The sequence below is a fragment of the Homo sapiens genome, chromosome 15 (genome assembly GCF_000001405.40).
Source record: "Homo sapiens chromosome 15, GRCh38.p14 Primary Assembly".
Classification (NCBI taxonomy): Eukaryota; Metazoa; Chordata; class Mammalia; order Primates; family Hominidae; genus Homo; species Homo sapiens.
Window position 1 is genome coordinate 64,725,520 of NC_000015.10, and position 12,753 is coordinate 64,738,272.

The following is a 12,753-nucleotide window of genomic DNA, read 5'->3' on the forward strand; positions in this document are numbered from 1 at the left end:
CTCTCTCAAAAAAATAAACAAGTAAATAAAAATAAAAATACAAAAATTAGGCAGATGTGATGGCACATGCCTGTAATCCCATCTATTCAGGCAGTTGAGGTGGGAGGATCACTTGAGCCTGAGAGGTCGAGGCTTCAGTGAGCCATGATCTCACCACTGCACTCCAGTCTGGGCAACAGGGTGAGAACTTGTCTCAAAAAAAAAACAAAAAAAAGCCTGTAATCCCAGCACTTTGGGAGGCCGAGGTGGGCAGATCACCTGAGGTCAGGAGTTCGAGACCAGCCTGGCCAACATGTCAAAACTCCTCTCTACTAAAAATACAAAAATTAGCCAGGCGTGGTGGCACATGCCTGTAATCACAGCTACTCAGGAGGCTGAGGCAGGAGCATCACTTGAACCCGGGAGGCGGAGGTTGCAGTGAGCTGAGATCGTGCCATTGCACTCCAGCCCAGGTGACAGAGCAAGACTCCATCTCAGAAAAAAAAAGATATAGGATGGGTGAGACATATATGTCCTTTGTAGCATATCCACTAAATTATGCTATAATAACAACCAACATCAAAATCTATGTTGCTTAAGCCAACAAAGGTTCCTCCCCATCTTCCCCAACACTCTAATGTCCATCACAAGTTGGTTGAGGTTCTGATCCATACCATCATCACTCAGAGATCCAGACTCTACCAGCTAAAATGTCATCAGTCACCATGGCAGAGAGAAGGTAAGAAGGAGAATCACATACTGGCTCGTAAATGCTTCTACCCAGAAGAGACACTTTTGCTCATAGTTCACTGTCCAAAGCAAGTCACACGGCCACGCCTAACTTCTAAAAGGTGGGAAAACACTCGGAGGGAAGAGAACAGAAAAAAGAGAGGGGAAGCACTCATGCTTCCTACATATTTCTTTTGTAAAGTAAGAGAAAAGAAATTGTAAAAACGAAGGGAGGACAGGCAATCTCAGTCATAAATAGTTCTTATTAAAGATGACACTGGGCACAGTGGCTCACACCTGTAATCCCAGCACCTTGGGAGGCTGAGGCAGGAGGATCACTTGAGTCCAGGGGTTTGAGACCAGCCTGGGCAACATAGTGAGACCCTGCCTCTGCAAAAAATGAACAAAATTAGCCAGGTGTGGTGGCACGTGCCTATAGTCCCAGCTACTTGGGAGGCTGAGGTGGGAGAAGTGCCTGAGCCGGGAAAGTCAAGGCTGCAGTGAACCAAAATCAAGCCACTGTACTCCAGCCTGGGTGACAGAGTGAGACTCTGTCGAAAAAAAAAAAAGAAAAAAAAAAAGACTTTTTGGAAATTGATTCCCTTAAACATAAGCCCACCTGCCCTTAGAAAATTCTTTTTGTAGCCAGGCACAGTGGCTCACACCTGTAATCCCAACACTTTGGGAGGCCAAGGAGGGAGCATCACTTGAGACCCGGAGTTCAAGACCAGTCTGGTCAACACGGTGACATCCCGTCTCTACTAAAAATACAAAAATTAAGGCTGGGCAAGGTGGCTCATGCCTGTTATCCCAGCACTTTGGGAGGCCGACGGGGGTGGATCACCTGAGGTCAGGAGTTTGAGACCAGCCTGACCAACATGGTGAAACCCTGTCTCTACTAAAAATACAAAAATAGCCGGGCGTGGTGGCACATGTCTGTAATCTCAGCTACTTGGGAGGCCTGAGGCAGCGAATTGCTTGAACCTGGGAGGCAGAGGTTGCAGTGAGCCGAGATTGCACCACTGCACTCCAGCCTGGGCTACAGAGCAAGACTCCATCTCAAAAAGTAAGTAAATAAATAAAAATTTAAAAATTAAACAAATAAAAATAAAAACAGTGAAAATTCTTTTTGTACCTCTTGGGGTGCAAATACTAGTTTGAAGACCACTACTTCCTTTTTGAAGGCTTCCCTGACCCCTACATCCGGGGACCACTCTCTGACGTTCCCACTGTTGCTATTGTACTATCTACTTGAAAGCTGCTGGGAGCTGGTTATCTTTTTAGATGAGTATCATGTTTTCCTAACAGGCTATATAGTCTCTTTGAGGATGGGAACCCTATCTTCAGGTTTTTTGTATCCCCTACACCATCAAACACGGACACTCAGAAAGTATTTGAGTTCAGTTTGATGGCAGACACTTTTCTCCGCGTGCTTCATCTCCTCATGTATGAAGTTGGAACAGCAAGGCCTACCCTTACAATTACACTGAGATGAAGGAAATAAGAGCCTCTTCAGCTCACTCCCACTCACCTAACTGGGATCAGCATCCCAATACTCCACTTCTGAGAAACTGGATGGTCCAGCTTTATGTAACAAGGAGCTATTGAAGGCTCTTGACAAGGTCTGTAGCGAGTGGGTCTGGGGCAGACCAGCCTGATATCAGTGACTGCTGGGTGGTTGGGGGGCATGAGAGACAGTGTGTGTTGGGGAAAAACAGCTAAGGACAGAAAGTACCGACAGAAAGTTGCTCCTATGGGCCAGGCACAGTGGCTCATGCCTGTAATCCAGTACTTTCAAAGGCTGAGGGCAGGAAGATTGCTTGAACCCAGGAGTTTGGGACCAGCCTGGGCAACACAGTGAGACCCCCATCTCTACAAAAATTTTATTTTAATTAGCTGGTGGTGGTGGCTAGTACCATTGCACTCCAGCCTGGGTGTTTTTCTTTTTTAAAGAAAGAAAGTTGCTCCTATGATCCACAAATGAGGTGATGGGCATCCACTGGGAGGTGTGTCTGGGAATGGTGAGCCACACTGCACCCTCAGGGAGCAACCCTAGCTGCCTTCCTGAACCTCCAAACCTGGATGCCAGACTGAGATCACAACCCCTGCCCGTCCACTAGCCCAAACCAATAGTTTTCGGCATTCTACCCTGCCCTCTGGTGGCCTCTGGGAGCATTGCAGATACAGCGTTCTAAGGAAGCCCAGAGCTGGTTCTTCCTCAGGGGAGATGGGATGGATGTGGGTAAGGGCAACATGCTCAGATAGCCCAGCCTTTGGGCCTGGCTCTTTGATGGCTGAAGCAAAAGAAGGAAATGGCCAAGCGCGGTGGCTCCGGCCTGTAATCCCAGCACTTTGGGAGGCCAAGGGGATCACAAGGTCAGGAAATCGAGACCATCCTGGCTAAACACAGTGAAACCCCGTCTCTAGTAAAAATACAAAAAAATTAGCCGGGTGTGGTGGCGGGCGCCTGTAGTCCCAGCTACTCGGGAGGCTGAGGCAGGACAATGGCGTGAACCCGGGAGACGGAGCTTGCAGTGAGCCGAGATCCTGCCACTGCACTGCCACTGCACTCCAGCCCTCCAGCCTGGGCGACAGAGTGAGACTCCGTCTCCAAAAAAAAAAAAAAAAAAAAAAAAAAAGAAGAAGAAAACAAAGGAGGGAGAGGAAGGGGTCATACCTATGGGTTGGGCGTAACTGTGCACTTGGCAGTTTTTTTCCCTATAGTTACTGCACAGAGTGAAAACTAGGAATCTTTGACCTGAAGTTGCAAAGTAATAAGCACATGGGCCATAGTATAGTGCACGAAATGGCTTTATATGGTTTGTTGTCGGCATCCAAAATCAGGACTTTTCACATTAAAATCTGAATGTCCAGTTTCTGTTGAAAAATCAAAACATGAAGCCACATGGAGTCCCCACCTTGCTGAGCAGCAGCTGGCAGGGGTTGAGGGGCAACCACTGCCCCCTTCTCCTGTCACCCAGTCACCCAGCCTGCCTCCCTCAGTCTCCTCACTTCCTGCAGAGTGCGAGTTTCCAACTCTTGACTAAGTCCAGCACTTCATGATGGAGAACAGGGTCAAAAAATATCAGGACAGGGCCCAACGCAGTGGTTCATGCCTGTAATCCCAGCACTTTCGGAAGCCGAGTTGGGCGGATCACCTGAGGTCAGGATTTCGGGACCAGCCTGGCCAACATGGCAAAACCCCGTCTCTACTGAAAATACAAAAATCAGCCGGGCATGGTGGCATGCATCTGTAATCCCAGCTATGTATGTATTATATATGTATATTATATAGATTATAGATAACATTTTATATATATATATATATCAGGACGGGGGTCCACCAGGCATCTAGTGCTTGAATTGCTTCCCGAGTACCACCACTAAGCATCATCAGCGTATACTCGAAGACCTGCAGGGACAGGAAAGTCACTGCCTGCCTGTAATCCCAGCACTGTGGGAGGACGAGGCAGGCAGATCACTTGAGCCCAGGAGTTTGAGACAAGCCTGGGCACCATAGTGAGACCCTGTCTCTACAAAAAATGTTTAAAAATATTAGCCAGGCATGGCCGGGTGTGGTGGCTCAAGCCTGTAATCCCAGCACTTTGGGAGGCCGAGGTGGGCAGATCACCTGAGATCAGGAGTTTGAGACCAGCCTGACCAACATGGAGAAACCCCATCTCTACTAAAAATACAAAAATCAGCCGGGTGTGATGGCAGGCACCTGTGATCCCAGCTACTCGGGAGGCTGAGGCAGGAGAATCACTTGAACCCGAGAGGCGGAGGTTGCATTGAGCCTAGATTGCACCATTGAACTCAAGCCTGAGCAACAAAAGCGAAACTCCGTCTCAAGAAAAAAGAAAAAAAAAAAATTAGCCAGGCATGGTGGTGCACACCTGTAGTCCCAGCTACTTGGGAGACTGAGGCAGGAGGATCACCTGAGTCCAGGATGGAGGCTGCAGTGAGCTGACTGCACTGCTGCACTCCAGCCTGGGTGACAGAGCAAGACCCTGTCTCAAAAAAAAAAAATGAAGTAGCCATTCCCAGTCATGTGTTAGGTATCACCAAAGGCCCTGGACTGTGCTGGTGAGTGACAATGGCATGACCTATGCCCTGAAAGAACGTCCAGTATGTGCAGGCACCAGCAAGGTTTGCAGACGAGACAGTGCCTGGCAGTGCTGACGACGGAGTGACCCCTGAGTAAAGCGCACTGAGAGAGAACAGCCCAAATTTGAGTTTCCAGGGGGGTCTATCCCCTGGATTTTACCCATTCCAATGGGCAAAATCTCCCAGACATGAGAGAAATTAGGAATGTAATTCCTGAAAATATCAATAGTGGGTTCTCAACTTTGTTACTATGACATCCAGGGGTTTCTTTTCTTATTTTTTGAGACAGAGTCTCACTCTGTTGCCCAGGCTGGAGGGCTGGAGTGCAGTGGCGCGATCTCGGCTCACTGCAAGCTCCGCCTCCTGGGTTCATGCCATTCTTCTGCCTCAGCCTCCCGAGTAGCTGGGACTACAGGCGCCCGCCACCACGCCCGGATAATTTTTTGTATTTTTTTTAGTAGAGACGGGGTTTCACCGTGTTAGCCAGGATGATCTCGATCTCCTGACCTCGTGATCCGCCCACCTCAGCCTCCCAGAGTGCTGGGATTACAGGCATGAGCCACTGCACCCGGCTGACATCCAGGGGTTTAATCAGTGAGATGGAAGCTGACTTGATTTCCTACGATAGTCGGGACACCTGAGTTTTGTGTCAAGCCCGCATAACCAAATGAGCTCCGCACATCTTTCTGCTTCTGAAGGCTGAAGCTTCTCCATCTGTGAACCGAGGCAATTGGATCAAATCTCTCTGGGCCCAATATTCACTTTTGTATCCCCAGTGCCAGCAGAGTGACTACTAGCATGCAAGTATGCACAAATGCAGGAGGTTCTCCATGAGTGTTTGTGTTTGTTAGTGACTAACTGCCTGACTCTGCCTCTGGGAACAGAGGCGCCCATAGAGTCCACAATAAATGACCCCAGGCAAAGGTTAATCTGGAAGAGCAAAAGGGAAAAAGGAAAAAGGTGGGGGCGTGTCCTGAATGCGTGACACTGGCCATCAGCCCTTATGCGGTAGAGAACCATGGAATGAAGTTCTTCTAACCTGTGAAAGTGGCGTCTTGGCACGATTCACCTGGCGGCCGTAGACAGGAGAGATTTCAGACGAGGTTTGTGAGCATCTTCAACCACGAGAGGGCGCCCCAGGATCACACAGTCCCGCCAGCTCCCAAAGGAAGGAGGCTGTGCCAGAGGCACCTGCCTAGTGCTAAGTCTTAGGTGAGCAGAACTTTCTCCTTGGTCACCACTGGGCCAAGACAAGGGGCCTGAGATGTAAATAAAGGTGAGCATAGGAGAAGGAGGGGCCAAAGAGAGAAAGGGACTTGCTGGGGCCACAGAGCATGTCTACAGGTACATCAGGACATGGAACGAGACCCAGGTGGGGTCAGTTTCCCATTACCTTGAAGAGGAAGGCAATGCCCGATCTAGTAGAGAGGAAAAAGCTGCTCTGTAGTACAAGGGAGATGACGGTGGTTAGCAAATGTCTCCAATCACAGGGAAGAAGGGGCCAGAAGCCAGGTGGGGGTGTGTCCTGAATGAGTGACACTGGCCATCAGCCCCTATGCAGTAGAGAACCACGGAATGAAGTTCTTCTAACCGGTGAAAGCGGCGTCTTGGCACGATTCACCTGGCGGCCGTAGACAGGAGAGATTTCAGTGCGTAGGCCCTGGGGAAGCGCATATGAATGGATACTTGGGAGTGTGGCCTTGGGGGAGAACCCTGGGGGAGGCCACTGCTCCAAAAGGAAGTGGCTTTTGCTCCTCCCACCCCTGCCCCTCCCCCCAGCCCCTCTCCCTCCATGTCTTTCTGGAGACACAAGTTAGTTTTTAGGAAGCACACTCCTGCTTTCAGTAATGAGAACCTGGGTCTGGAAAGAGACACAGGCCCATCTGAGAAGCCTCTAATCTAAGAGACCACCTTCAGCAGGGGACAGAGCCTGAGGGTATCCTGCTCTGGAAGCTGCAGTCACCCTGAGGTGGGAGATGAGGCATGTTCCTCTGTGCACAGCTCTTACACCACCCATGCAGTTCTGCGAGGCCAAGCACAGAACCACGATACCATGGGACCCAGAGCAGTACTCTGGACCTGTGGGTAAGGTGGGCAGCAGCCCAGCCTCCGGGGAAAGAGAGGAGCGGAAGTTTAGAACCAATAACCCCCAGCTTTCCCTGCTTGAGTAGCTCCACAGCCCAGACTCCCACACTCCAGGCTGTGCATCACCTGAGAACAGAAACTGTGCCTTATCCTCCATCTCAGCACCAAACACAGGCTCAGCAAAGGGCAGGGGCACAAAAAATGTTTGCTGGAAAGAATGACTGGACAAGAGAGGATGCAAAGGTCAGTCAGCGTGCTCCTTCCCCCTTGAGGGCAGCAGACCAGAGCTCAGGGCTCTGGCTCAGCTCATCATGATCAAACATGACCTTGGCACCTTTCTGAACTTGAACTTCCTGTCCATGGGATGGAAATGATCCTTCGCAAACAGCCTTCCCAGGACAGCTTCGAGGATCAGGGCAGGACTACCTTGTAGCAGCCTATGGACTTAGCTCTTTCCTTCTCTCTTATTCCACTTGGTAATGTTAAGTGATTGAGAACAAACTCAATTCACCTCAATTTGCCCTCACATATTCAAGTGGTTGCAGGGTTTTTCTGTTTGATGGTTTTTATTTTTGTTTTCAGCCTATTTCTTTTTCATTTTTTTTTCTTGTGAGATGGAGTCTTGCTCTGTTGCCCAGGCTAGAGTGCAGTGGCATGATCTCGGCTCACTGCAAACTCCACCTCCTGGGTTCAAGCGATTCTCCTGCCTCAGCCTCCCGAGTAGCTGGAATTACAGGTGCCCACCACCACGCCTGGCTAGTTTTTGTATTTTTTAGTAGAGACGGGGTTTCACCATCTTGGCCAGGCTGGTGTCAAACTTCTGACCTCATGATCCACCCACCTCAGCCTCCCAAAGTGCTAGGATTACAGGCGTGAGCCACCACGCCCAGGCGTTTTCGGCCTATTTCTTAACCAGGCTACTATGTGATGGTTTTTATTATTTATCTATTTATTTTTGAGATGGAGTCTCACTCTCACCCAGGATGGAGTGCAGTGGCATGATCTCGGCTCACTGCAACCTCTGCCTCCCAGTTTCAAGCGATTGTCCTGCCTCCGCCTCCCAAGTAGCTGGGACTACAGACATGTGCCACCGCACCTGGCTAATTTTTGTATTTTTAGTAGAGATGGGGTTTCACCATGTTGGCCAGGCTGGTCTTGAACTCTGACCTCAGGTGATCCGTCCACCTCGGCCTCCCTAAGTGCTGGGATTACAGGGGTGAGCCACCACACCTAGCCATGGTGAAGCCTTTCTAACTCTGGTTTCCATAGCTGTAAAATTAGATGATTGATGGGCATGGTGGCTCACACCTATAATCCCAGCATTTTGGTAGGTTGAGAAGGACAGATTGCTTGAGCTCAGGAGTTCAAGACCAGCTTGGGCAATATGGAGAAACCCCAGCTCCACAAAATATACAAAAACTAGCCAGGTGTGGTGGTGCACGCCTGTAGACCCAGCTACTTGGGAGGCTGAGGTTACAGTGGGCTGAGATCGGGTCACTGCACTCCAGCCTGGGCAGCAGGGTGAGATTCTGTCTGAAAAAAAAAGATAAGTAAAACTTTCCTTTTTTTTTTTTCTTTGAGACTGAGTCTTGCTCTGTTGCCCAGGCTGGAGTGCAGTGGCATGGTCTCAGCTCACTGCAACCTCCGCCTCCCAGGTTCAAGTGATTCTCCTGCCTCAGCCTCCCTAGTATCTGGGATTACAGGTACATGCTACCACACCTGGCTAATTTTTGTATTTTTAGTATAGACAGGGTTTCACCATGTTGGCCAGGCTGGTCTCGAACTCCTGACCTCCAGCAATCCGCCCGCCTTGGCCTCCCAAAGGGCTGGTATTACAGGCGTGAGCCACCACGCCTGGCCAACACCTTTCTTATGTATGTCAGCAGGCTTTTTATGGCAATCATGGGCGATAGCAAACGTATGTATTGTAAACTCTGAAGCAGTGTATGAATACAACTACTGTCAGAACTTTGAAGCCCTAAATGGCTTGATAAAAAGGTTAGAAGTCCACCTATAATCCCAGCACTTTGGGAGGCTGAGGCAGGTGGATCTGAGGTCAGGAGTTCAAGACTAGCCCAGCCAAGATGGCGAAACCCTGTCTCTACTGAAAATACAAAAATCAGCCAGGCATGGTGGCACACACCTATAATCCTAGCTACTCAAGCTCACTGCAACCTCTGCCTCCCAGTTTCAAGCGATTCTCCTACCTCCGCCTCCCAAGTAGCTGGGACTACAGACATGTGCCACCACACCCAGCTGAGGTGGAGGTTGCAGTGAGCTGAGATGATGCCCTGCACTCCAGCCTGGGGAACACAGTGAGATTGTCTCAAAAAAAAAAAAAAAAAAAAAAAGCTACAGTTAGATCCAGTGCCAAAAACTACTAGCTCCAGGGTTTTGTGTGTGTTCTCCTAGATTCCTGGGCCCCACCCTGTCCTTCTTTCACCTTCCTCCCAGGTAGAACATGGGGTTAAAAATCTTTCAATGACTACTGATCCATTGAAAAAACAGTCAAGGAGTACGTCAATTGGAATCGACTCAATTTCACTGCTTCTTAAGGATGAAGGAAATATTATCTTTTTAACATAACTGCAGGCCAAGCGTGGTGGTTCACGCTTGTAATCCCAGCACTTTGGGAGGCTGACGCAGGCAGATCACTTGAGTCCAGGAGTTCGAGACCAGCCTGACCAACATGGCGAACCCCATCTCTACTAAAAATATAAAAAGTAGCCAGGTGTGGTGGTGGGCGCCTGTAATCCCAGCTACTTGGGAAGCTGAGGCAGGGAGAATCGCTTGAACCTGGGAGGTGGAGGTTGCAGTGAGCCAAGATTGCACCACTGTACTCCAGCCTGGGCGACAGAGCGAGACTCCATCTCAAAAAAAAAAAAAAAAAAGGAAAAAAAAAAGATAAGCATAGAAAACATTTAGGGAGTACCTACTATGTGTTAGGCACGTTATTGTGTCATCATTAAAGCTCATAACCTTGTGAGGGAAGGAAACAGAGTCACAAACACACACTCCTTGGCCGGGCGTGGTGGCTCACGCCTGTAATCCCAGCACTTTGGGGGGCCAAGGCGGGCGGATCATGAGGTCAGGAGATGGAGACCATCCTGGCTAACATGGTGAAACCCCATCTCTACTAAAAAACACAAAAAATTAGCTGGGCTTGGTGGCAGGCACCTGTAGTCCCAGCTACTTGGGAGGCTGAGGCAGGAGAATGATGTGAACCTGGAAGGCGGAGCTTGCAGTGAGCAGAGATCGCGCCACCGCACTCCAGCCTGGGCGACAGAGCAAGACTCTGTCTCAAAAAAAAAAAACAGAAACACACACTCCGAGGGAAGGCACAGGCTTTTCTGGGATGAGACAGCCATTCCTGTCTCTTAGGCTCCTCCTACTAAGCTGCTGCATATTCTCTACTACAGGCAGAAATGGAGATACACCATCTTTGTTCTTGCATAAGCTGATAGCCAGATGAATCCTGCACGTCCAACAACCCTAATCACTGGGTTAAAGGCCAGAGACTACACAATGCTAGGCTGAGGCTAGATGGGTCACTGAGGGCTTCTCTTTGTCCTTTAATCAGGGAGTAAGACCCAGTGTCCCAGGGAAAGATGGGGTCATATTTAGATCAAGACAGAAGACAAGAAAGTATGGCATGCCAAGAAGAGGTCTGCAGCCAGCAGCCCTGAGCTGTAACCATGGCTCTAGCACTGCAGGGAGAGGCTTCCAAGCCTGTGGGGTGAGGTGTCTGCTGCCTGCCTGCCCTGTGGGGTGCTGGACTGACTGGAAGACAGAGACACCAGTGGAGCATGCACTGGTCACTGTCTCCATAACAAAAAAGGGCTTGCTTTAGGGCAAACTACTCACCTCTGTGCTTCACCTTCTCCATCTGTGAATGGGAGAGCTGGGTGGACTCAATCCTCAATGCCAATGTCTGACCCTGGTTTCCTGGGGTCATTTGAAGGGCCTCTCAAAAGAACAGATTTAAGGGGATGGCTGGAAGGTCATGAAGATAATGGCCAAGGGCACCTGACCTCCCTCCAAACTCTTGCAGAGGCTCCCGCTCCCTCACCCCAACCAGAGGCCAGGGAACTAGGGGATGATGGTCAAGGAGGTGGGGGACGGGGTATGGAATGGACCAGGAGCACATGCCCCTCTCCTGGCTGCCCTGGAAAGTTGCCAGGGCAGTGATCCCATTCAGCCTTGCTCCCCTTGCTCCTGGAGCCCCTCTTCTGCCTGAGAGAAGGTGTTGGGGTGGGGCCTGCACTCCTGCAGGGCCACCTGGGTGGAGGCTGGCACAGAGGATGTGAGGCAGGGCAGGCCTGCAGCTTGAGTGGGGCGGCTCTGCTCCCTCCTCCTGATACCTTTGCAGGAGGCTTTATCCTCCCATTTTCCACCTTTCCCTTTCTCAGTCCCCTTCCGGCACTTGCCCTACTTCCCTCCTCTGACGGACTTAGCCTGGTTTCTCAGGGATATTTGCCCTCTGACAAAGAACTCAAGATCCAAAGGCTTTATTCCAGACCTCAGGAAATGGAGCTCTGCGGGGCACGTGTGGGCAGGGCAGGGTGGGGCGGAACGGTGGGCAGGAGGGAGGCCTGGATCACCCCCCAACCCCCGCTCCCACCCCTGTCCCAGAACTCTGGACCCCATGCGGCCTGCACTCTTACCTTGTACTGATCCCCAGGGACGCATCATGTCAGGCCACACAGCCTGGAACCTAGGAACCTGCCTGGGAAAGCTCCAAGATAAGTCACATCCCTTAAAAACGCTGGCCAGGGCTGGGCATGGTGGCTCATGCCTGTAATCCCAACACTTTGGGAGGCCGAGGCAAGAGGATCACTTGAGCCCAGGAGTTCGAGACCAGCCTGGCCAACATGATGAAACCCCCGGGTCTCTACAAAAAATACAAAAATTAACCAGGCATGGTGGTGTGTGCCTGTGGTCCCAGCTACTACTCTGGAGGCTAAGGTGGGAGGTTTAACTGAGCCCAGAAGGCAGAGGTTGCAGTGAACCATGATCACACCACCGTACTCCAGCGTGGGTAACAGAGAGACCCTGTCTCCAAAAAAAAAAAAAAGAAAAAGAAAAATGCTGGCTAGGCAGCAGCACCCAACGATGGTTCAGTCAGGGTGACAAGCACCATCTCTGTTGCGAGAAGAGCTGGCTCTGGCCAGGGCAGGGGGGCATCAGGGGCTTCCCAGTGGCTCACAAGCATCTGTTTAGTACTGGCCTCACTTGTGTGCTTGCAGGGAGGGGATTACATGGAAAGACAGCCTCTCCTGCCAACGAGGGGATTTCATCGCTGCTGGGAAGGGACCTCACACCAAAAGAACCCTGGTGGAGGCTGGGCATGGTGGCTCACGCCTGTAATCCCAGCACTTTGGGAGGCCAAGGCAGGCGGATCGTGAGGCCAGGAGTTCAAGACCAGCCTAGCCAACATGGTGAAACCCCATCTCTACTAAAAATACAAAAATTAGCCCAGTGTGCTGGTGCATGCCTGTAATCCCAGCTACTTGGAAGGCTGAGGCAGGAGCATGGCTTGAACCCAGGAGGCAGAGGTTGCAGTGAGCCGAAATCAGGCCACTGCACTCCAGCCTGGGCGACAGTGAGACTCATCTGTGGGTGGGAGAAGTGGGGGAAAGAATGCTGGTGGTTCCCAGATGCCTAACTCCCTTTCAGAAGGGAAGGAACACTTTCAACTGTGATCAGGACTCAACACCTCTGGGGATAACGAGCTGCTTTCTGGAAAGAGAGCAGGACAGGGAATCAGGACACAGGTGCTTCTGACCCCAGCCAGGAAGCCCTGATCTACTGAAGGCTCCTTAACCCAAGTTCAGTCTAAACATGACTGCTCAC

At 50.6% G+C, this 12,753-nt stretch overlaps 3 annotated features.

Annotated features, from left to right (window-relative positions):
• Positions 6,422–7,069: an enhancer, noted in NCBI's record as "H3K27ac-H3K4me1 hESC enhancer chr15:65024140-65024787 (GRCh37/hg19 assembly coordinates)". NCBI's record gives its function as "activates a minimal SCP1, AML or CMV promoter by ChIP-STARR-seq in primed H9 embryonic stem cells {active_cell/tissue: H9 hESC(primed)}" and the evidence as "EXISTENCE:reporter gene assay evidence [ECO:0000049][PMID:30033119]".
• Positions 7,070–7,718: an enhancer, noted in NCBI's record as "H3K27ac-H3K4me1 hESC enhancer chr15:65024788-65025436 (GRCh37/hg19 assembly coordinates)". NCBI's record gives its function as "activates a minimal SCP1, AML or CMV promoter by ChIP-STARR-seq in primed H9 embryonic stem cells {active_cell/tissue: H9 hESC(primed)}" and the evidence as "EXISTENCE:reporter gene assay evidence [ECO:0000049][PMID:30033119]".
• Positions 10,639–11,618: an enhancer, noted in NCBI's record as "H3K27ac-H3K4me1 hESC enhancer chr15:65028357-65029336 (GRCh37/hg19 assembly coordinates)". NCBI's record gives its function as "activates a minimal SCP1, AML or CMV promoter by ChIP-STARR-seq in primed H9 embryonic stem cells {active_cell/tissue: H9 hESC(primed)}" and the evidence as "EXISTENCE:reporter gene assay evidence [ECO:0000049][PMID:30033119]".